Source organism: Homo sapiens, chromosome 4 (genome assembly GCF_000001405.40).
Source record: "Homo sapiens chromosome 4, GRCh38.p14 Primary Assembly".
Lineage (NCBI taxonomy): Eukaryota > Metazoa > Chordata > Mammalia > Primates > Hominidae > Homo > Homo sapiens.
In genome coordinates this window covers 135,561,571-135,587,894 of record NC_000004.12, presented here as the reverse complement: position 1 = coordinate 135,587,894, position 26,324 = coordinate 135,561,571, and the positions used below count along the sequence as shown (strand labels likewise).

At 34.9% G+C, this 26,324-nt stretch overlaps 1 pseudogene; it reads left to right on the top strand.

Moving 5' to 3' along the window:
- TARS2P1 (TARS2 pseudogene 1) lies at nucleotides 20,733-23,001 on the top strand (annotated as a pseudogene).

Here is a 26,324-nt window from a genome sequence, read left to right as displayed (position 1 = left end):
TTGATGACAGACTATGAAATACAAAATGCATAGATAAAATATTTGGGGATGACCAAGGGAATAGAAACATAAATCGGATAGTGAGAATTGTGTGATAAGTAGTCCTCACCTGAAAAATATGGTCTTACAATTTTAAATGAAAAAAAAGGAGGGGTGTGAATGAAGAAGATAACCTCTTTGGAGATTGTTGGTAAAATTCCTAAGCATGTCCTCTTTTGGGCAGTTTATAGTAATAAAGAATGTAAAACTTGGATTTGATGTAGAAGCATTTTTAGGGCTTACTATGAGAGTAAAACTCACAAAAACTTGTCAAGACCCTGTCTCCTTCTAGAGTAGAAGAAAACGTCCCATACTTTCAAATACAACAGCTCTACCTCCTACCCTAAGCTTATGATCCTCTCTTTTTCTGGGACAATCTTTCATATTGTTACTCAACTGTACATTTATATAGGATTCATAATGTGACTATGAAGAAAGAAAAGTAATTATAATAGCCAATCAACACCTGTTTTCTTTCTAAGTCATCTCATTACATGTCACCTCTGTATCCACTTTGTCTCTCCTGTGTCTATGTAATAAGCTCATATATATTTTTCAGTAAGTATATATTGGATATTTGAATCATTTTTTTGCATAATCATTTAACAATTGTAGAGGAAACCAGAATATCTGAGTTGTGGAAATGAATAATAAAATGATTGCTGAGGGATTTAAAATACACATATTTCCACATCACATGTGGAAAGCCACTGCCAAGACAGAAAGACCATTTCATATCAAAACATATAGATTTTTTTTTTCAAGTAGGAAATAGAAAAGTCAGGTTGGAAGTGGCAGTTTTGTGCTCCTTTTGATTTAATATAAACCATGTCTTCATGGTTCATTTTCTTCCTCAAAGTATAAGACTTATGCAGTTGTTTGGTATATAAAACACATTTTATAACTTAATGTGTTTTAATGGAGCTTGAATTGTAGTTTTAAAATAATACAGAATAATCTCCACAAATGCTAACAACAATGCTCAGTTGTATTTTTTCCCAGTGCCTCAAAATATGTTTATCTTGTTTTAATGGGTAGCTGGCTCTCTTTATTCCAGTATCATATGAATTAGATTTTTTTTTTTTTTAGACGGAGTCTCACTCTGTCACCCAGGCTGGAGTGCAGTGGCTCGATCTCGGCTCACTGCAAGCTCCACCTTCTGAGTTCACGCCATTTTCCTGCCTCAGTCTCCTGTGTAGCTGGGACTACAGGTGCCCACCACCATGCCTGGCTAATTTTTTTTTTTTTTTGTATTTTTATTAGAGACAGGTTTTCATCCTGTTAGGCAGGATGGTCTCCATCTCCTGACCTCGTGATCCACCTGCCAAAGTGCCAGGATTACAGGCATGAGCTACTGTGCCTGGCAATAAATTAGATTTTAATGAGTATGGTGCATATTTTTAATTCATAGTACTTGAGACTTGCAAGTCTTCTTTTGAAACTACTTACATGCCTATTACATATTATAGAAACAAGGTACCTTCTTCACAAGAAAAAAGGAAGGAGAAATGCTGAGAGAATGGAGAAGAGCCCCTTATAACACCATCAAATCTTGAGAGAACTCACTCACTATCATGAGAAAAGCATGGAGGAAACCCGCCCCATCATGCAATTACCCCCACCTGGTCTCTCCCTTGAGATGTAGGGGTTATGGTGATTATAATCTAGGATGAGATTTGGGTGGGGACACAAGGCCTAACCATATCATTCCACACATGGCCCCTCCCAAATCTCATGTCCTCACATTTCAAAACACAATCATGTCTTCCCAAAGGTTCCCCAAAATCTTAATTCATTCCAGCATTAACTCAAAAGTCTAAGTCCAAAGTCTCATCTGAGACAAGGCAAGTCCCTTACACCTATGAGCCTGAAAAGTCATAAGCAAGTTATTTAGTTCCTATATATAATGGAGGTACAGGCATTGGGTAAATACACCTGTTCCAAATGGGAGAATTTGGCCAAAAGAAGGAGCTACAGGCCCCAGGCAAGTCTGAAAACCAGTGGGACAGTCAAGTCTCAAAGCTCCAAAATGATCTTCTTTGAATTCATATCTCACATCCAGGTCACACTGATGCAAAGGTGGGATGCCATGCTCTTGGGAAGCTCCACCCCTGTGGCTTTGCAGGGTACAGCTCCCCACCTGGCTGCTTTCACATGCTGGCTTTGAGTGTCTGCAGCTTTTCCAGGTGCACAGTTCAAGCTGTCAGTGGCTCTACCATTCTGGGGTGTGGAGGATGGTGGATCTTTTCTCACAGTTCCTTTAGGCAGTGCATTAGTGGAAACTCTATGTGGGGGCTCCTATACCACATTTCCCTTCTGCACTGCCTTAGTAAAGGTTCTCCATGAGGGCTCCACCTCTGCAGCAAACTACTGCCTGGACATCCAGGCATTTTCACACATCCTCTGAAATGGAGATGAAGGTTCTCAAAACTCAGTTCTTGACTTTTGCACACTCACAGGCCCAACACCATATGTAAGCTGCTAAGGCTTGGGGCTTGCACCCTCTGAACCAATGGACCGAGCTGTACCTTGGCCCATTTAAGAAATGGCTGGGATGCAGGGCTCCAAGTCCCGGGACTGCCCAAAGCTCCAAGGCCCCAGCTGTCATCCACAAAACCATTTTTAACTCCTAGGCCTCTGGGCCTGTGATGGGAGGAGCTGCTGTGAAGACTTTCGACAGTCCCTGGAGACATTTTTCACATTGTCTTGATAATTAACATTTGGCTCCTTGTTACGTCTGCAAATTTCTGCAGCAGGCTTGAATTTCTCCTCAGGAAATGGGTTTTTCTTTGCTGTCACATTGTCAGACCAAATTTTCCAAACTTTAATGCTCTGTTTCCCTTTGAAACTTAAGTTCCGATTGCAAAACTGTATCTTGGTGAATGCATAAAACTGATTGCTTTTAAGAGTACCCAAGTCACCTCTTGAATGCTTTGCTGCTTAGAAATTTCTTCCACCAGATACCCTAATCATTTCTCTCACATTCAAAGTTTCACAGAACTCTAGGGCAGGGGCAGAAAGCCACCAGTATTTTTGCAAATACACAGCAAGAGTCAGTGTTGCTCCAGTTCCCAACAGATTCCTCATCTCCATCTGAGACCACCTCAGCCTGGACTTTATTGTCCATATCACTATCAGCATTTTGGTCAAAGCCAGTTAAGAAGTCTCCAGGAAGTTCCAAACTTTCACACATTTTCTTGTCTTGTTCTGAGCCCTCCAAACTGTTCCAATCTCTGCTTGTTACCCAGTTTCAAAGTTACCTCCACATTTTTGGGTATCTTGATAGAAGCACCCTATAAAGATTAGTATCTGTCATACTAATTTACTGTATTAGTTTGTTTGCATACTGCTATAAATAACTGCCTGATACCTGGGTAATTTAGAGAGGAAAAAGGTTTAATTGACTCACAGTTGAGCATGGCTGGGGAGGCCTCAGAAAATGTACAATTATCACAGCAGGCAAAGGGGAAGCAAGACACCTTCTTCTCAAAGTGGCAGAAGGGAGAAGTGCCAAGCAAAAGGGGAAGAGCCCCTTAAACCATCAGACCTTCTTAGAAGTCACTCATTATCATGAGAACAGCATGCGGGAAACCACCCCCATGATTCACTTATCTCCACCGCGTCTCTCCCTTGACATGTGGAAATGATGGGGGTTATAATTTGAGATGAGATTTGGGTTGGGACACAAAGCCTAACCATATCAGTGCATAACTAAATGTAATTTAGAATGCTAATTTAAAGTGTCCTTTTCCATGCAGAAATCTATGAATGTGCATTTTCTTTTCCCAAAATTAACTGTAAATTTATGAAATGTTAATAAAATAATTAAAGACCTTAGAAATCTGGAAACAGAGAATCTTAGTCATTTCACAGTCTGATTTATATTTATCCAGTAGGCATTGGTATAGCTATGGTGGTTGATACATTATTGAAATACTTTAGTAGAGGAGAAATAGTCCCTGAATAAGTCCTCAAATCCTACCACCCAAGAGTGCCCTTCATACCCCAAACCCTCTCAAAGGATGCTCCAACTTTCACATATTTCTGCCCAATACAATCACTTTATTCTCATGCTCTAGGATTAGGCCAGCTTGGATTCATTCTGATTGAATAGTGCTCACTAATCTTTGGAATAACATCATTGATTATGCTGGAGATGAAGAAGAGCAAGATGGTATTTCATTGGATCCCACTATCACCACTATATCCATACATACTCTAGTAGCATTAAACTTTCTCCGTTAGGTCCAGAAGAAACTATTTGTGATTTGGTATTTATTATTTCCCCACTTTGGAATACATTCTGTCTATTACTTCTCTGTAATTATTAAATAATATTACAGTGTGTGAGGTTGCAAGAAGTAGTAAGATAATTTTAAGTTTAAAATAACAGAATGAAGAGAGGTCTCTATTCTTTTTCTTCTCAGTTCACAAGGACAAGCTGCCAAGTGCAAGGAAGAATAAGCAGAGTTGTAAAAAAGATATCTAAAGAGATATCTGATTGCTCAGCTATCAGAGAAATGGAAGAGAGTCTTGTCTTCAAATACTTGTTTCAAACAGCAGGTTTTCAGCACGTAGGGTGGAAGCAGAAGTTTCTCATGAGCACCTTTTGGATCACAGTAAGGGGAGAGAGATAGAACAGAAACACACAAGCATGCCATGTCACTTTGTAATATCATAAACATTTCGTTATTCCATTCATTCTTCCATTATTAATCAAATGAATTTCAACAGATTACAATACAGGACATGGTCTTTTAGAACTATAAAAGCAGATTCTAAAGTTTGTGAGAAGCTTATAAGAAAAATATTCAAGAAAAGGTAAGAAAATTATGAAAAAGAAAGGGAAATTGGTTTTAAGGATTATTTGCTCTACCAGTTATTAAAACATTAAAATTAATAATAAGCGTATCTAATATTTTGTGTGCTATGCTAAGTGCCAAGTATTTGAAATGCTATGATGTCAGTTCTTAATGATTATCTTTGCTTGAGCAAAGGTCAAGGTACAACCTGCTTTAAGATGATGTAATAAGTCCAGGTCCAGGCAGTGACACACCTTGGAAAAAGAATAGAGGAAGGTTGCTTCCCCGAGTGAAAATCAGGTGGTTTGATGGTGGAGTTATTTTTACTAAGAAAGAAAATTAAGATGTCAGCTCACAATTGTATTTGTCATTATTTAGTAAATTTATTATTTTGCATCCTATATATGTCAAATATTCACATATGCACTACTAAACCTAAATATTCAGATGTCTATTTCCTCTTCCCAATTCAGAATTCTTATTGCTTCTTCCATCAAAGGAAAATCACCATATTTAAAGTTATACTTTCAACACGTTTCTGTATATTTTTGTAAAATATATCCCTAAAGAATAGATTATTCTTCTGCATGTTTAAAACTTTAGCTGGTACAATGATCTCTGAATTTTTCTGGAAATTACATTTTTTCCTCTCTCAAAATTGGTTTGTTAGTTATACCCATGTGGATATGTCTGGCTCTGTTCCATTTAATCTTTACTATTGTGTTATATCCATTCCTGTGTTGTACAGCTGTGAAAATTTCACTAGTGTAACACTTAAGAGTAAAAAATTTCTGGTAATTAAGTAAAAGGCATTTTCACATCCAGTAGATCTTGTCCAACAGTATTCATAGGGGGTTATACTAAATTATATTTGCATCAGCAGTTTAGAGGCTTTCCCATTACAGTACAAGCAGCACCACATTTTAGATCTTCAAATTTCAGATTTTCAAAGTGTTGCCCATATTTTGAGTGTGAGCTTTTATCTCTGTATTTCAGTTTCCACTTTCCTTACATGAGCTGATTCATTTCATATACTAATTGATGATTCGGTTTACTTTTTCTGTATATAGCTTTGTTATAGCCAGTTTTTCTATCATGTTTTACCAGTTTATTTGTAAAAGTTCTTTTTCTTTACTGGTAATACATTTTATTAAGATGCTCCCTTGTAAGTTATTTGTATTTTTTAATTGTGCTTTATACATTAAGCATATATTTATTGGAAACTGCTACTTGTGCATGGTAGGAGGTAGGAATTTGTATAATTTTAGTAGACAACTAAACATTTCTAACTGATGTAGTGACTAGTTATCCCTTACCCATTATAGTGCAAGGTAATTTCAATTGAATCTTAAGTCTGTGTTTAGGAATTGGTATGTGAGCCCTCTTTTCTATTGTGTTGATCTGTTTATTAGCACAACCAACAGCACATACCTTTTATTACTGTAGCTCTTAAAGTATCTTTTTCTCTTTTTTTCCACAAGCATCATTGTTTGTTTTCTTGCAGTTTGTCTATCCTTGTCAGTTGCTCTTATAAATACATAAATTAACTTCTCAAATGTTAAATAAATCATTATTATTTTGATTAGAATTGCCTAGGTTTATAAATTATTTTATAATTTGGGTCGAATAGAAGTGTTTGCAGTATTTAAAATAGATTAGTTTCACACATGAACATACTATTGCTGAAAAGCTGTAAACATTTAGGTTTGCATTGATGTCTTTCAATAAACATTTATAACTTTTTTCATTTAAGAGTGTATTCCTAATTTTAAATAATATTTTCACTGTATCCTTTTCTATGTTTAGATAAGTTTAGATGCACAAATACTTGTTACAATTGCTTACAGTATTCAGTATAATAACAAGCTCTACAGGTTTATAGCCTAGGAGCAATAGGTTGCACCATACATCCTAAGTGTGTAGTAGGCTATACAATCCAGGTGTGTGCAAATACAGTCTATGATATTCACACAATGATAAAATTGGCTAAGGATGTATTTCTCAGAATGTATCTCTATCATTAAATGACACACAACCATCTATAAAACAAACACCATTTGTTGCACTTATGTTCATAAGAAAGGTTGGTTGGTGATTAACTTTATTTAATACCCTTAATTGATTTTTCATAACAAGGTATATTATTCCATAAGTACCATTGGGAAGTGGAGTCTTTCTAGTTTTTCCTCTTATGATGTTCCGTGAGATAGTATGTTATTAGTAGAATTATCTGTTTATGAATATCTGTTGGAAATTATATAAAAATCTCTGGGTCTGGTATATGTTAGGTAGATCTTACAGAACTTAATCAAATATGATCATGGTAATAAGATTACTATATTTATACTTTTACTGAGTCAAATACATACACATAATTACATATAGAAATATTAAAAATATATTTGTTCTATAAAAGTTAGCAAATTACTTTGTCCTAATAATTTGCTTTATATTGACTATAAGGTTGTGAATTATTTTTTTAGCGATATTAAGAACCTACAGTAAGTATAATGCTGACATTGAAAATTACTGAGAGTTTCTTTATGGATGAATATATGGTTTTTATATTGTTCCATACAACACTGGGAAGAGTGTATTTTAGGTAATTTGTATATGAGAGTTCTACATTATGTCTGTACATAAGGCTGCTTAATTCTACAGTTCAAATCTTATATACACTACTGCATTTTTGTTCACTTTGGTGCTAATACAATGATGGTTTTTCTTCATTTACTTTTGCCAAATTATTATTATTATCATATCTATGCTTGCTTTATTTTGTATTTTGTACTGAAAATTCTAACATTAAATGTCCTGGAAATTCTAATTCTGCTACGTAAATTTTTATGTCATGTTTCCAAAATATTAAATTTTGAGAAATTTTCATATGTCTGATGCATAATCTTTTGTAGTCCTGTTTAAGGGCCTGTAGTTGGACAGTTGATTTTACTTTGCATTTTCCAGGTGTCCCAGGATGCTAAAATAACTGAACCTCTTGCTATTCATTTCTGAGTTTGTGGTTTCCTGGCCTCTGCAAGTATTGCAATTTGAAACCATAAATCCATGAATATAATGACCATACCCTGATTCCAAGTTCTCAGTAGGGACTTTTCTTTCCAATCTAGAAACAATTATGAAATTTACACTTAGCTTATTTTCGCCATTTCCTTGCAAACAGATATCTTCCAGCCTACTCGTTGCTAAGGGTGTTTCTTCAAGGAATCCTGCAACATGCAAGTATTTAAGTTCCATTTCCCCCTCCTCAACTTGTAAGCTAACACAAAGGCTCGTGTCTCCAAGCAGCTTTAAATTTTAAGGCTCTGTGTCTTGCTATCAGCCAGTATCATCAGGGCAGCTTCAGGTGCCTGTCTTAATCATCCATTCTAGTTTTTATGTGTTGTTCTTCTAAGGCTTTGTGAGTTTTACTTCTAACCAATCAATGAAAATGATGTTTGTTATACTTTATGCAGCAATTTTAGGTATTTTACTGTGGGGGGTTTACTCAAAAGCATTTAATTTTCACTATTGCCAAACAAAGAAACACCATGTAATTCCAAAGATGTATAAATTTGTTATAAAGACCAACTTGAAATATTTTACACATTAAATTAAGAATAAATATTTTATAGATATTTGGGAAAAATTTTACTATTTACCTTTTAAAATCTTACAAGAATATTGCATAATTATCACATTATGGTATTGTGAGTGACCTAACCATATAGGAATAATAGTATATTTTTAGATTTACTAAGCCTTGTAAGATAAAGACCTTTATAAGCCAAGAAAAATAATATTTAAATGATATTTGTTAATAACTATGGCATTAAGAAATGATTCTATAAAACAAAATGAAAATGAAAAACTGGAAGGTGTTATAAAAGACTTTCTATTGTTAAAGAAAATTAAAGACTCAGAAGTAATTTTAGCAATGTAAATCTGAAATGCTTTTTGATTATTTAGCCAGCAGAATAAATCTAGAATTTACTGTTTTTTGCTAAATCCTTTATTATACACATGTTTAAAACTAGTTTGACTGGCTCCTTCTATATATATCAGTTCTTGAGACACATTAATGAGTAAGAAAGAAAATACTTTCCCTCATAAATTTGCGTATGTTATAATGAGGGAAGCTGAAAAACAGCTAGTAAGAATAAAAATAAAACTCATTTTTTAATAAATGCCAGAAGAAATAAAGGAAAATAGGAAACCAACAAATGTTCAGGATGAGAGCAATTTTAAAAATGATTGCCAAGAAGAGTCTGCTTTGGAGGTTTTATTTTAACAGAGACATGATGATTGGAAGAAGAAAGTCATTATAAAATATAAGGAAGAACTATCCTAGAAATGTAATGATGAGAGCAAATTTAGCCCGATGTGTTCCAGAGACATCAACAGTGTGGCAGATATGACAGCACAGGAGAAAATGGTAAACATTAAGATGGGAGCAAGGCAGGGTCAGTTCACATGTGGGCTTGGGGATGGGTTGTCTACGTAAATCAACAAACAAGTATTTTTTCTGTTTTAAATATTTGTGGGTACATAGTAGCTGTATATATTTATGGAATACATGAGATGTTTTGATACAGGCATGCAATGTGAAATAGTGTAAACCAAAACTGTCCTAGGCATACCAGGCCAAACTGCTACACTGACTGTAGATCAAGGTATGAATGTTTTCCATGAGGAGTTGATGTGAGTTGATTTAGTATATAAAATATAACTCTGCTGCTCTTCCATTAATTTATTGTATTCTCTGAAACTGAATATGTGGAAAAAGGAATGAGGTAGCAGGAAAGGAAACATTGAGATCAATAGGAGACCCATGAAGCCACCCAAGAGAGAAAAATGACAATTTAGATTAGGAGGGTCCCTACTGATCACATGCAGATTTGAACGTCTTAAGAAAATTGGAAGGTGCAAGTCGTAAATTTGCTTTTGGTAATGAAACAATATTTGTGTGTATAATTTATTATCTATCATAGTTGTGTACTCAAGATTGACAAATTTTATTTTATCTTTATAAGATACAATGATTTTTCCACAGATTAAAAGTGATTGCATTAATACCAACTATAAATCTTATATTGTATAACATCATTTTTATGTTTTTTAATTCTATTCATTCACAAGAATGGAGGTTAAGGAAGTATGATGTATGATGGAGTGGAAATAGTATAAATTTTGGAGTTAAGATAACTGTCATTTAAATAGTGTCTGTCACTTGCAGGCTGTGCTTTTTTCTACATTTACTAATCTTTCTGAGCCTCAGTATTTTGTCTTTTAACGGGCTGAAAATTGAAAGATCACAATATAAAGACGGTCTCATCCTAACTGTTCAGAAAATTGTTGTCATTTTTTATTTTGATTTTTTTAGAAAGAGGGTCTCACTCTGTTGCCCACACTGGAATGTGGTGCCACAATCATAGCTCATTGCAGCCTCAAACTCCCAGGCTAATGCAATTCTCCTACCTCTGTTTCCTGAGTAGTTGAGATCACAGGTGTATGTCACCATGCCCAACTGGTTTCTTTTTATTTTTTGTAGAGCCAGGATGTTGCTATGTTGCCCAGACAGGTCTCAAACTCCTGGGCTCAAGCAGTCCTTCATCCTTGGCCTTCTAAAGCACTGAGATTATAGGCATGAGCAACCATGCCTGGCCAATTGTAGTTATTTCTATTATCATCAACAGTGTTATCATTCACTTAAATCTGGATCATGAGGTTTCTGTCGGCACCAGATTTTGAAAAATAAATATTGTTTTATCCAAGTAAATTAATGAAGTTCTCAAAAAAAAGTAACTACCAGAATCTGGCAGAATTCTCAAAATAGCATAGAGCAATTTTAAGTTAAATCAGAGTTATTTACTCAGGGGAAGATTTTTCCAAATATTTTTCATAAGAATTTTTATACAAAAAAAACAAATAGTACTACTAGAGTTATCTTGCTTACTTCCCTTTTTTTTTTTTTTTTTTTTTTTAGATGGAGTCTCACTCTGTCACCCAGGCTGGAGTGCAGTGGTATGATCTTGGCTCACTGCAACCTCCACGTCCCAGGTTCAAGCAATTCTCCTGCCTCAGACTCCCCAGTATCTGGGATTACAGGCACCTGCTACCATGCCCAGCTTATTTTTTTGTATTTTGGGTAGAGATGGGGTTTCACCATGTTGGCCAGGATGGTCTTGAACTCTGGACCTCAAGTGATCCACCCACCTCAGCCTCCCAAAGTTCTGGGATTACAGGTGTGAGCCACCACACCCTTGGAGCTTTGGAGCTCCAAGTGAAGATTTGGAGCGCTTTGAGGCCTACTGTGGAAAAGCAAATATCTTCACATAAAAACTACACAGAAGCATTCTGAGAAACTCCAAAGCTCCACTTGGAGCTTACTTGCTTTTTTGATGATTAAGTGCTAGGTACATAACTGAGAAAGAGGGGGAAGAAAAAGGAAACCCAGTGCAAAAGATCAAATAATATTATTCATAGTTATGAGCAATTATACAATTATTGTTATTAAAATTAGAAAATAGGCTGTTTTAAAAGGTACTTTTACATTATTTATTGCATTTATTCCATTAGGTTCAAAAAAGTAATGCTGCAGCTATTTATAAGACAGAAAACTAAGACTCATAGAGATTAGTTGAATTTTCCAGGACTGTATGGCAAATTAATAGTAGAAATCGAATAGCAGTGTATGCTTTCTAATCTTATTTAAACTCATTATGTCACAAATCAGAGCCATCTCTGTAAGTTTTCATTTTATGCCTGAATAGTATTCCATAGTGTAAATATACCACATTTTCTTTAGGCATTCATTTGTTGATAGACGCTGAGCTTGATTCTGTATCTTGGCTACTGTGAAGAATGCTGCAGTAGATGTTAAATTGCAGAAATCTTTTCAACATGCTGATTTCATTTATTTTGGATAGATACCCAGTAGTGGAATTGTTGGATCATATGATAGTTCTATTTATAATTTTTGAGGAACCTCAATAATGTAGTTTATAATGGCTCTACTAATTTATATTCTTACCAACAGTGTATGAGTTCCACTTTGTTTATATCCTCTTCAGCATTTGTTGTATGATTCAGAAATTTATTTATTCTGTTTTCCAATTCATTGTTGTACAGTCGCTCATAATAATCTCAAAGGATTCTTTGTATTTCTGTAGCAGCAAAGTGGTGTCTTTTTTTCATTTCTAGTTTTATCTATTGTTTTACTTCTCTCCTTTTTGTTAGTCGAGGTTTGTTTATCTTGTGCATTTTTTTCAAAATAACCCTTCGCTTTGTTGATCTTTTTATTTTTTTAGTCTATTTTATTTCTGCTCTGATCCTTAGCATGTCTTTCCTTCTACTAATTTTGGGTTTGATCTGTTGTTTATCTAGGTTCTTGAGTGCAGCATTAAGTCATTTATTGGAAGTAGTTTTAATCTTTTGATGTGGTATTCATTGTTATAAACTTTCCTCATGGAATTTCTTTTATATATCCCAAGACTTTGGTATGTTGAGCTTTTGCTTTTGCTTATTTCAATAAATTTTTAAGTTTTAAGGTTTTTTTTTAAATAGTAATTGTTCCATTTGTTGTACAAGAGCATATTGTTTAACTTCAATGTATTTTCAAGGTGTCCAAAGTTCTCCTTTTATTGATTTCTAGTTTTATTACATTGTAATAATTTTGTTATTTTAAAATTTGTTAAGATTTGTTTTGTGGCCTAACAAATGATCTATCCTAGAGAATGTTCCATGTACTGATGAGAAGTATGTGTAATCTGCAGCTGTTAGATCTAACGTTCTGTAAATGCCTGTTGTCCATTTGGTCAAGAGTGCACTTGAACTCTGATCTGACCTTTCTTTATTTTCTGCCTGGATGATCTGTCCATTGCTGAAAGTGGAATGTTGATGTGCCCTACTCTTACTGATTTGCACTCTACTTCTTCCATTAGGACTTTTAACACAGGCATATCTTGTATTATTGTGCTTTACTTTATTGTGCACTGCAAAAACTTTTCAACTACTGAAACAGTCAAATGGAAAGTTTGTGGCAACTCAGCATCAAGCATGTCTGTTGGCCCATTTTTTCTAACATCATGTACTCACTTCATGTCTGTTATATTTTGCTAATTCTCATAGTATTTCAAATTTTTTCATTATTATTATATTTGTTATAGTGATCTGTATTCAGTAATCTTGGATTTTACTATTGTTATTGTTTTAATGCATCACAAATTTTACCCACAGAAAATAGCAAACTTAATCAGTAAATGTTGTTTGTGTTCTGCTCCACTGACCAGTCATTCTTCCATCTGTCTCCCTCTTATAGACCCTTCCTATTTGCTCAAACACAACAATATTAAAATTAGGACAATTCATAACCTACAATGGCTTCTAAGTGTTCAAGTAAAGAGTCACATGGGTTGCTGAGGCGGGCAGATCACGAGGTCAGGAGATCGAGACCATCTTGGCTAATATGGTGAAACCCCATCTCTACCAAAAATACAAAAAATTAGCTGGGCGTGGTGGCGGGCACCTGTAGTCCCAGCTACTTGGGAGGCTGAGGCAGGAGAATGGCGTGAACCCGGGAGGCAGAGCTTGCAGTGAGCCGAGATCACGCCACTGCCCTCCAACCTGGCTGACAGAGCCAGACTCCGTCAAAAAAAAAAAAAAAAAAAAAAAAAAAGACAAAGTCACATGTCACTCACTTTAAATCAAAACCTAAATTCAATTAAGCTTTGTGAGGAAGGCACGTCAAAAGCCAAGATATACCAAATGCTAGGTCCCTTGTACCAAGCGGTTAGCCAAGTTGTAAATGTCAAGAAAAATGTCTTGATAACTTGCTGCAGCTTCTCCATCAGCACTTGCTGCTTTGCCTTGCACTTTCGTGTTATGTAGATGGCTTTTTTCCTTAAACCGCATGAACCAAACTTTGCTATCTCCCAACTTTTCTTGAATGAAATTAAAAGTGCTTTCCAGTGAACACCTGAATGCTAAGAAACCAAAACAGCCTGGGTGCTGATATAAATTCATAGTGTTCCACATGGTAAATCAAACAATATAGTTGTAATGTAGACAAAACAGTCTTATACTCAAAGGAGATGTCATCTAGGACTTTCTGAGCTAAAGAGAAGTCAATGCATGGCTTCAAAGCTTCAAAGGACAGGTTGATTTTCTTGTAACGGACTAATGCAGCTGGTAATTTTGAGTTGAAGCCAATGATCATTTACCATTCTAAAAATCCTAGGGCCCTTAAGAACTCTGATAAATCTACTCTTCCTGTGCTTTATAAATGGTACAACAAAGTCCAGATGCCAGCACATCTGTTTACAGCATGCTTTACTTAATATTTTAAGCCCACTGTTAAAAACCTACTGCTCAGAAAAGGTTTCTTTCTAAATATGACTTATCATTGATAATGCACTTGGTAATCCAATAGCTATTATGGAGTATTACAAGATGAATGTGGTTTTTCATGTCTGATAACACAGCATTTATTCTGCTACTACATGGATCAAGGGGCAATTTAGACTTTGAAGTCTTATTATTTAAGAAATACATTTTTTCCTAATGCTATGGCTGCCACAAAGAGTGATTTCTCTGACAGATCTGGTGAAAGTAAACTGAATACCTGCTGGAAAGCATTTACCATTATAGATGTCCTTCAGAATACTTTGGACTTATGGGAGGGTGTCAAAATATCAAAATTAATATAAGCTTGTAAGATGTTTATTCCAACCCTCATGGGTGACTTAGAGGGATTCAAGACTTCAGTGGAGAAACTAACTGCAAATATGATGGGAATAAGCAAGAAAGCTAGAATGAGAAGTGGTGCCTAAAGGTGTGAGTGAATTGCTGCAATCTGGTGATAAAACTTTAATGGATGAGGAGTTGTAACTATGGATGAGGAAAGAATGCGGTTTCATGAGATGCAATCTACTCCTGGAGAAAATGCTCTGAACATGGCTAAAACAAAGGATGTTAAATATTACATAAACTTGGTTAATAAAAAAGCAGAAGGTTTTGAGGTTAACATCAATTTTTAAAAAATGTTCTACTGTGGATAAACTACTATCAAACAACATTGCTTTCTACAGAGGAAACTTTCATAATGAAAGATTTGATTGATGTGGCAAACTTTATTATTGTATTATTTTAAGAAGTTTCCACAGCCACTCCAATCTTCTGCAAAAACAAATGTGATCAAAGAAATATTTAGCCATCAGCATCAAGACAAGATCTTTTCACCAGCAAAATAAAATTACAATTAATTCAATGGTAAAATGATCAATACAACTTTTTAGCAATAAAGTATTTTTAATTAAAACATGTACATTATTTTTGTAAACATAGTATTATTTCACAATTAATAGAGTACAGTGCAAATATAACTTTTAAATGTAGCGGGTAATAAAAAATTGTGTTTCTCACTTTATTGTGATATTTCTTTTACCGTGGTGATTTGGAAGTGAACCTGCAATATCTCTGGGGTATTGTTGTGTTTGCTTTATACATTCAGGTACTCTTATCTCTCACACATTTATTTATAATTGTTAAACTCTTTTTATTACCCCTTAATTTTTAAATAATGGCCGCTTCTCTTTTTTACATTTTTTGGCTTAATGTTTATATTATTTGATATACATATAGAGACCACAGTTCTTTTTTATTTCAATTTTCAAGGATTTTTGTATATCTTGCTTTTCACTTTCAGTCTGTTTACAGAATGAGTGAATTTTTTGCAGGTAGCTTATAGTTAGGTCTTGTTTTTTTTTTCCATTCAATCTTTTAATTGAAGATCTTAATCAATTTACAGTTATGGTAATTATTGATAGTTAAGGGCTTACTACTGCCATTTTGTTACTTGTTTTCTTGTTGCTTTACAGATCCTCTTTTTCTTTTTTTCTTAGTCTTCATTTGTGGTTAACTAATTTTTCTCTAGTAGTATGTTTTTATTCTTTGCTTTTTATGTTTACTGCATACACTCTAGGTTTTGCTTTGTGGTTACAGTGAGACTTACAAAATGTGTTCTACAATTATAACAAGCTTTTGTATTTGTACAGACTTTTCCTTGTATAAATTGATACTTGTATAAACTGATAACAACTTAACTTTAATCTCAAAGGAAAGAAAATAAACAAGCAAAAAGCTGTACACTTTGTTTATTCTCCCCCTACGTTAGGAAATTTTAATATCACAATTTGTAATTTTACATAGCCTATTTCTTAACAAATTACCATAGTTATTTTTATTTTTTATTAGTTTGAACTTTTTGTCTTCATACTGATAATATTTGTAGTTTTTCAGTATTAGAATGCTTGCACCATGATTTCAGTATTAAAATAACAATCATTTTAGCATCTTTTTCTTTCAGTTTGAAGAACATTCTTTATCATTACATGTAGGAAATATCTGGTAGCAATAAATTTTCTAAGCTTTTGTTTTTAAAAGTTTTTATCCATCTTTCATTTCTGAAAGATAATTTTGCTGGACACAGTATTCTCATTTGACAGACTTTTATATTTTTCCCTTCAGCACTCCAAATACATCATCCTACTCCCTCCTGGCCTATAAAGTTTCCGCTGAGGTGTATTAGAAATTCCTCATATTTGCTTCTTTTCTCTCACTTATCTCAAGAGGCTCTTTGTTTCTGACATTTGACAGTTTGATTATTGTATGTCCTGGGGTACTGTTATTTGAGTTGAACCTGCTTGATGACATTTAACCTTATTATGCCTGAATATTTATATCTTTTTTCTGCTTTGGAAAGTTTTCTATTATTATCTCTTTGAATAAGCTTCTAACCTTTTGTCTTTCCCTATTCTTCCTTTAATTTCAATAACCCAAATATTTGATCTTTTGATTTTGTTCCATATATCTCATTAGAATTCTTCATTATTTTTAGCCTTTTCTCTACTAATAATGTATTTTCAAGTAGCCTACCTTCAGGTGTACTGATTCTTCTGATTGATCATTTCTACTGTTGATGTTTTATATTGCATATTTCATTTGGTTCTTTGTATTTTTCAGCTCCAGAATTTGAGTTTTATTTCTTTTTAATTATTTCAATTTTTTTCTGTTAAATTTCTCAGATAAATTTCTGAATTAACCCTATATATGTTTTCTTGTGGTTTCTTGAGTTTTCTTAAAAAGGGTATTTTAAGTACTTTGAGAAATTCACACATTGTCATTACTTTTGTGTGCATCTCTATCACCTTTGTTTGGTGAGGTCATATTTCCCTGAATGTTTCTGAAACTTGTGAATGTACAATGATGTCTGCCCATTGAGGAATAAGGTATTTATTCTAATCTTTGATGCCTGGCTTTGTTTGTGCCCGTCCTTCTTCAGAGAGTCTTCCAGAGATTCTAAGCCGACTGACTATTATTGTATTTCCTGATTCTGTGGTCACTGCAGCCACCTCATTGATACAGGATTCTCTAAATCTAGGCTTGTCATGAGTCTCACAAAGACTCTGAGTTTGACATTGCGAGAATATTGGAACTGTATGGGAAAGTTGGCCGGGACTTTAGCCTAGAAGACTGTTCCAGTTACTCAGATGGGCATGTTTCTCAGCAGGTCCCTGTACAGGCAGAATGTTCACCAGCTTCAGCAAAAAAGACCAAAGCTGAGACTGAGCCATCTCAGGATCTGCTTTGGAATGGCAGTTGGTGAGCCCATCATGCAGGCTTAGACACTTGGACTGAAAGAAATGAGTTAGTCTCCTTTTGTGTCTTTTTGTTTAGAGTTCTGAGCCAGGATTTCAGCTGAGGGGAGCAGGAACCTAGCCACAGGGCAACTTTCAGGTTTACTGTCAAGATAAATGTCAGCAGACAGATGAGCCTCTTCACCAATGTACTAATGTGTGTGATTTCTCCTAAAACCCTTGAAAGATGATTTTGGCTACAGGCTCAAAGCTCTTAGGGGTGAGGCAGTTCCTAGGCTTGAACCAAAAGTAGAATCAGCAGATCAGCCACTTGGGTGCCAACCTGCACACTTGAAATGACCCAACTATGTCTTGGGCCCCACGGAGTTTTATAAACTTCTACCTGAATCCCAAGTATTTTTTTCTGTGGATGGGTTCAGAATTCTTGTTGCTACAGGGGAATATGAATCAGTTACTTCCTAGTCTGTCATTATGATAATATTCTATTTTTATATTCTGTGCAATTATTCATTAAGACAGTAATTCCAAAGCAGGATATTTCTTTGTCAAGATAGAGCTGAACAAACTATACCTCTGTGGAAATAATAAACTTATCAAATGTGACTTAAGGAGCACATAGTATGGAACTTCTAAGCTTCTGAATATATTTTTTTATTTTGGTGGATGTATCTTCTATTATATATACGTTGCATTTGTTTCTCAAATTAAAGATGAAAATTAGCATGTTATAATGATATTTCTTTTGGCTTTAAGTAATTTTGAAGAGGCTACTTTTCCTTACTGACTAAAAGTTAACATCAGGGCCAGGCACAATGGCTCACACTTATAATCCTAACACTTTGGGAAGCTGAGGCAAGAGGATTACTTTATGTTGGGAGTTCAAGATCAACCTGGGCAATAGAGTCAGATCTTATCTCTACAAAAATAAAAATAAATAAATAAATAAATAAATAAATAAATTTGCCTGACATGGAGGCCTGTGCCTGTAGGCCCAGCTACTTGGGAGACTAAGGTGAGAGAATCACTTGAGCTTAGGAGGGTAAGGCTGCAGTAAGCTATGACGGTGCCACTGCACTCCAGCCTGAGTAAAAGAGCAAGACCCTGTTTCAGAAAACGTGTGTGTGTGTATTATGTAATATATACACATATTTTATATTTATATACACATGCATATGAAATAATAGTTAACTTTAACCTTCAAGTCTCTATTTATTTTACATTTTAAAAGGAAAAGAGAGGGATAGTTGGTGCATGTGAAAAAATATCATTTGAAATTTTGTTTTAAAAAAAAGTTTTTGACAAAATTTCCTTTCAGGTAAAAATAAAATATTCTTTTCAAGTATGAAGTATCATAACCAACATAGTAACTTGCAAAAATATAAAATGTAGCATAATCATTTGTATTTATATAGTTAATTAAATAGTAAATTATATGACCCAGTTTCATTTATGCAATTAGCAATTAAACTAAATCTCTTACCCTAAATTACTGGAGATATGATGGTGCCCATGAGAACCAGCAGGATACCATCTATTTTAAGTATGCTTTAATAGCAGGTTATGATAAATTTTGGAATATTTTCATTTATTCGGTAATTTATAAATTTTTGAGAACTGTTAAGCTCTATCTAAAATATTGTAGAAATCACACCTATTTTCTAATTTTTAGTTAATAATAGGCAAGGGACAATAATAGTTATTTTTTCTTATTCTTTCTTTCGAATTTCTAAACTGAACTTAACCAAAGAAGAATAATAAAACTTAATAACCTTCTTTTTTAATAATAACTTTCTTATTTTATTTATTTTTATAATACAGGGAATATTTTGTTTTCTAGTATAGTCGTGTTCAAAGGTAGAGATTCATACCAGTATTTCAGCTCATATATTAAGCTAAATTTTATATCTAAATTGCATATTGTAGAAGACATATAGGTGAGATTTTAAGTTGTTGTCTTAAATATTGCTTTGGTCTGAATGTTTCTTTTTCTCTAAAATTTATATGTTGAACTCTAATTACCAATGTGATGGCACAAAGAGGTGGGCTTTTGGGAAGTGATTAGTTATGAGAGTTAAACCTTCAGGAATGGAATTATTGCCCTTTACAAAGAGACACCATAGTACTCCTTCTCTGTCTAACATGTGAGGCGACAGTAAGAAGGTGCCATTTTATAAACTGGAAAGTTGAACTTCACCAGACACTAATTTTACCAGCACATTGATCTTGTACTCCCCAGCCTCCAGAACTATGAGAAATAGATGTTTTTTATTTATAAGCCACCTATTTTATGGTATTGTGTTTTAACAACTCAAATAGAGTAAGACAAATATGAAATAATTGAACATTTACAAACACTTGAGCTAGCCACAGTATTTAAACAAAGGAATTAGAATTAGATAAATGAGATAAAACAGTTAAAAACTGCTATGGTTTGAATGTGTCCTCTTCATGTGTTAGAATCCTAATCTCTCTGCCTTCATGAATGGATTAATGTGACCTATGCTCTCATTAATGAGTTAGTAGATTCACGAGAGTTCTGCCTTCATGAATATATTAATGTTATTATTGTGGGAGTAGATTCATTATCATGGGAGTGGCTTTTTTATAAAACTAAGCGTTCCTTGGCTCTCTTGCTCTTGTCCCTCACCACGTGATGCCCTACATTATATTATGATGGAGCTATAAGGCCCTAACCAGATGCTGATGCTATGCTCTTGCATTTCCCAGCCTCCAGAACTATGAGCCAAATAAACTTCTATTCTTTATAAATTACCTAATATTTGGTATTGTTTTGGTAAATGAAATGGACTAAGACAGAAGCCATCTTGGTTATCATAATTCTATTGTAGCTTCTTCTTAATAATATTAATATAATTTGTTAGAATTTTTGTAAATTAGCACCATATCCTTTTGTAATAAAATAAATTAGCAACTTCTATGAGTTAGCAAGTTAATTTTTTTAGAAATTTTACATCTGGCATTTCTAAATGCTAAATATGCTAAAATATGAAAACAAGATATCTTGACACAAAATGTAGTTAATTTATGTTAATAAAATTTTTAAGTATTTAAATTTAAGTGAGATAAGTTTTTAATCATCCACCTATCAAAAGTACTTGCTTAGATTTATACCTCTTAATAGTTGTTAAATATTTAATGTTTATTTTTTATTCATGAGATATGAATATACGTTTCCTTTGCATTATAAATATCTGAACGTTGGTGAAATTATATCTTTCAGGGAACATGAGGCTGTATCAGAGGTGATGTCCACTCTGACTCCAAAAGTTACAGGCATGTGGGCTACATACACATCACGGCAGTTGTAACTGTTCCTCCATACTGATTGGCAGAGTGGCTTAGCCTTTTGAGGAGCTATGGGCTTCTTAGGTAAAGAGGTTAGCAAGCATAGCACAGAAGAAACCCCAGCATATTAATATATCACTTCTTGGAAACCAGAAAGTGGATGCTGTTGCATGGGAAACAAACCCTTACCAATTAGCCCTGCAGTTCAGTTCCACACTGGCAGACACTGTAGAAGCTGCTCATGTGAATTAAGAACTTTATGATTTGGAGCCACTCTTGAAGACAATTCTGACCTCAAATTTCTGACATTCCATTCCTCAGAAGGGAAAGACTGCTCTGGCACTCCAGTGCCCATGTCCTGTGGGCAGCAGCTGAACAATTCCTAGGTGCTATTCTCCGTCCAAGGCTGTTTTTTTACCATAATCTCTTCCCAAGAAAGGAGCAGACAACCTGCGTCTCAGAGTGCCTGCTTTGCCACAGATTTCCAGGGAACTTACAGCTCTGCTTAATTCTTCTGTAGGATAGAGGTTTCCTATATCAGCTTTGCCAGCTGTTCAAGACAACCACTTTAAACTTCACCTGAGCCAGGAGAAAGTCACAAGTCTGACAGTAACAGTATATGGGCATGGCGTATTGGTTGACCTTTGCTGAGTCCCCACCTTTGGCATACTAGACAGATTGAAAGATTGAAGTTGCTAAGAAACTTTTCATCTTTATGGAGGTCTTCTGAAGCTCTAGAGACACTGCAAAGAGTTCTCCACAGCAGAGTTTGTGAAAACCTTGGAGGTATGGAGAGAGGAAACTGATTTGCAGACCACTGCCATGTTGGGAAGGAACAGGAGCTCTTCTGCTTCCATGAACTGAGCCCTGGAAGCTGCTGCTTCTTGCCACGAGGGACAAGGGTGTATACTGCATTACTGGTATTTATCAAGGCTGAGTAGGCCCACCACAGTGTTCTCTACAAAACTCTGGAACATTCAGGGCACTGGGAAAATTAAAGGGCAGACATGTTTGCCCCTGTAGCCCCAGACTCTGACAGGCCTGACAGCTCTAGGCATCCCCAAGACACACCCTACAGCCCATAAACTGCCCTACATGCTGCCTGATGTTCACCCACCCCCTCAGATCCTGGAGGAAGCTACCACTGCAACTGGTTGACTTCTAGGCCCTACAACTGACTGAGGCCTCCAGCAGTCCTGGGAGACTTACCCAGCCATGGTGCTTCCAATAGGATGATGGAAGATCAGCACCAGATCAGTGGGAAGCAGAGATCTGAAGCTGTCTTGATTTCCTCCACTATGTCTATGTTGTCCTTTGCTGCTTCTTCTGCTTGGCACTGTCCACCTTGCCATCTGGCTTCCTCAGGGAGCATTGCCTTTGGGAATAGGCTAAACAGGTCCTTCAATGGACCCTGGAGGAATTTGGAGAACTCTTGAGACCTGAACTTTGGAGTTGGTGCTTTCTATGGTCCCCAGATTGACATGAACCTTCACAGTGTCCCACAGTGTGGGATAATCAAGCTTGACTTACAACTGTCCCTGAGATTTGACTTTCAGTACAAGTGGCCGACAGGAGTCCTAGAGTGTCCAGTTATTCATCAAGCAGCGTTCAGTTCTGTGGAAAGGGTGTTGGGAGCAGGCACATAAAGCTGTGAGGGAAAATAGATTCTCTGGCTGTCCCTGTTCCAGGTGGTGTTTATGTCTGTGGATTCTGAGCAAGAGAAATGTCAGGGAAGAACAACAAAGCCTGTAGTCTGCAGGATTGGTCAGTGACCTGGAAGCTGACTCTGGACTGACCCTCAGTTGGAGAGTCTGCTGGGCCCAGCTTGCCCACTGGGTTGGCCCAAAAGAGCAAAGTAAGAGAACAGTGGACATTTGGACTCTAGATAATCGTTGACTTGGCTAGCAGGACTTGACTAAGTCAAGCAGTGGCGGTGGAGCTACAGAACACCAGGGTCCCAAATGCTGAAGAAATTTTCTGAGCCTTTGTACATAAATGAGGCAAAGACCTGTGAGAGCTATCAACCTCTTTTAATATGGGAGACCATAACCCAGCTCACAGTCTGGAGTCCCTCAGAGTCCTCAGAGCTGATGGAGGCATGTGTCTGTTCTCCTGGAAAGAGACTTAGTTTGGGGACCCCACAAAGGGAGGAAAGTTGTAGCTGTTGGTATGTGAAGAGAGTAAAACTAAAATAAATAAACTGGAAGCTTCTGTTTTTTTTTTTTAATATGCTTTTCAGGAAAAGTATTTCTATATTGTTAAAACTAAATAGTTTATATTTATCAAGGCCAATTAATTAGGCACATATTAATCCACTAAATTATCATTTATCTTTCAATGGTTTATAATCATGTCAATAGTTTAAAGCTGGAGGGCAATTTTTCATTTTGAAAAGGCAATTGTGATCTTCTAAAGTAAAATTATTAAATAGTTTCGTTTAGCTCAACCCAGAAACATGCATTCCCTTCTTAACCTCTGTGCATTTTAAGAGTTAAAGCAAATTTCAAACAGAAGGTGAATTTAATGTCATTTTATTACTCTTTTAAATTTTATATTGTTTCCCAGTTGTTGTGAACATTTGATATTTTAAGGATGTCATCATCTAACTCCATTCCCTACAAATACTCTAATTTTTTGTTTGTGTGTAATCTTGGTGAGAGACTGTGTCTTCAATTAAAAGTGTAAGCGACCAGATTCACCCCACAGCCCTACTTCCACTGCCTAGGACCAGATATTTTACCTTGCTCAATCTATCTGATGTTTCTCAGAATCACTGTCCCCCACACACCTAGCCACTATGCAATGACTCAGCAAAGAAAGGAGTATGGATGTTATAGGCTATGAGCAAATGTTCCAGTGCTTGGTCATTGATATGGTTCCTGATGCTCAGCCTTTGGGGCATCCTTAATTTCTACACTTTCTCCAAGTCTGTACCTTCAAACTATCATCCACCTGAAACTCATTTGGTGATAATCATTTGGTGAAATTCATTTGGTAATAATCACCAAATGAATTACATTTTTGCCTAACTTAAACTTAATTACATAAAGTTGTAATTTAATAGTTCATACCTAAATGCTTCTTTCACTTGTATTTTTCCATATATTAAATGTAATGTCCACACACAATTGTTCATACTGTTTTTACCTCTTTGGAGCTTTTCATTTTTACAAAAAATAATATAGTCCTCATTCTGCAAAATTTTGCAATAATATAAATCTGTGGTTTGAAAACATATATATGTCTTTGATACTTAAATACTTTCACAGCCACTCTTCTGCACCTATCACCTATATTAGGTTTGCGTCTTGAACTTCATGAAACAAAATCATACAATATGTGCTCTTTTGTGTATGGCTTATTTTTCTTATCATTGTGCCTATGTCATTCATTCATATTGTTTTCTGAAGCAGTCACATTTTTATTGCTGTATTGTATTTAATTGTATAGTACACCTTGGTCCTTGGTTCTTTTATTGTTTCTTCTTTTGAAAGGTAATTCACTTGTTTCTGGAAATATTTTGAATATATCTGCTATGAATGGTCTTGGGAATGTGTTTTGATAAATGTTTGCACTCATTTCCTTAGAGAGATAGATAGATGAACAGATAAATATTCATATATGTTATGTAAAATATATGTAGAATTTCTGAGTGAAGAAAAAAAGCAAATGTTTTACTTCAGTGGATATTAATTAAAAAGTTGCCAAAGTAGTTTTAGTCACTTTTTTTTTTTTTTTGAGATGGAGTCTCACACTGTTGCCTGGGCTAGAGTGCAATGGTGCTATCTTGGCTCACTGCAACTTCTGCCTCCTGGGTTCATGTGATTCTCCTGCCTCAGCCTCCCAAGTAGCTGGGATTACAGGTGCACACCACCACACCTGGCTAAATTTTTTGTATTTGTAGTAGAGACAGGGTTTCACTATGCTGGCCAGACTGGTCTCGAACTCCTGACCTTGTGATCCACCCTCCTTTGCCTCCCAAATTTAGATTACAGGCGTGAGCCAACTAGTCCAGATGTTTTATTCACTTTCATGCCCACCAAAAGCATATGAGTTTTACAGATGCTTCGAATTATTGCCAACCCTTGGTATTATTAGTATTTTTAATTTTCTAGGTTTAGTTTGCAATTAACTATTGAGTAAATATGGTGAGCTATCTGGTGTCTTCTTCATTAATGTGCCTATTCTAAGTTTTGGCCCATTTTTAAATTGATTTTTTTTCTTTTACTTTTTGCTTGGTAGTTTTATTTTTATAGAGTATGAATTCTTGCTTGGATAGAAGTACAGATTTTTTATTTCATTACTTGCTTCACAATATTATTGGTATATTTTGGTGAACAGAAATCTTTAATTTTAATGTAGTTCAAGTTATCAAACTTTTACATGTGATGCTTTTTCTTGCCCAACCCAAGCTCTTAAAGATACTGTTTTATATTTTCTCCTACAGGTTTCCTAGGAGACAACATAAGATACTACTAAGTGGTATTTTTCCCAAAAATGGAACTTGGTATTTGAAAATCAAAAATGTAATTAAACATATTAACAAACTAAGATAGAATATTTATATGAGCATCTTATTTGTTAAAAGTAATTAACAAATTCCAACATCTGTTTCTAATTTTAAAAAAGAACAAAAATTTAATCAAAATAGAAATAGAAGAGAAATTCTTAACCCTGGCCAAAAACATCCAAAAAAAACCCTATAGCTAATATCCTATTTAAGGAAAAAATGAATTATTTTTACATAAGATCAGAACAAGACAACAATGTCTACTTTTATAATTTTTATTCAACATTGTACTAAAGTTCTAGCCATTGCAATCAGGTGATAAAAAAATAAAAATTACTGAGACTTCAATGAATAAAACTCTTTTTATTTATAATAATTTTTGCAGAAAATCTGAAGGATCTTAAAAAAAAGAATGGAACTAATTAATGAGTTTAGCATATTTACAAGATATAAGATAAATGCATGGTTGTCAATTTTATTTCCATTTCCTAGCAATGAACAACCAGTAATTAAAATAATTATTTAAAAATAGCATTAATAGCACAAAAAATAAAAATACTTATGGAAAAGGAATTAAATAATAACTATATAAATGAAGAAATATATCTTATTCATTGCTCATGAGTCTCAATATTAGTAAAATGTCAATTCTTCCCAAATGGATTCAGCAAAATCCCAACGAAAATCCTATTTGCTAATAGATATTCCGCATTTCTGTTCTGTTTGTAGCTAGATTTAAGAGCCTTTCATCATTTTCTTTCCCTATCTTTACTTGACGCTGCTAAGGTATAGTTTACTCTAAATTAACTTAGTGTGAGTGTCTCATACATCAGTTACTAAAGTTCCTTTGTATTCTAAATGATCTAGTCATTAAGACCATCTATTTATCAACCTTGTGCTTTAGTGTAATGATGGTTGAACTACAAATGAAAATAGTGACCAAGAAGAAAAAAAAATCTATGACTTGATAATTTGAATCAGTATATTGCCACATCACTCTAAAAATGTCTGAATCTG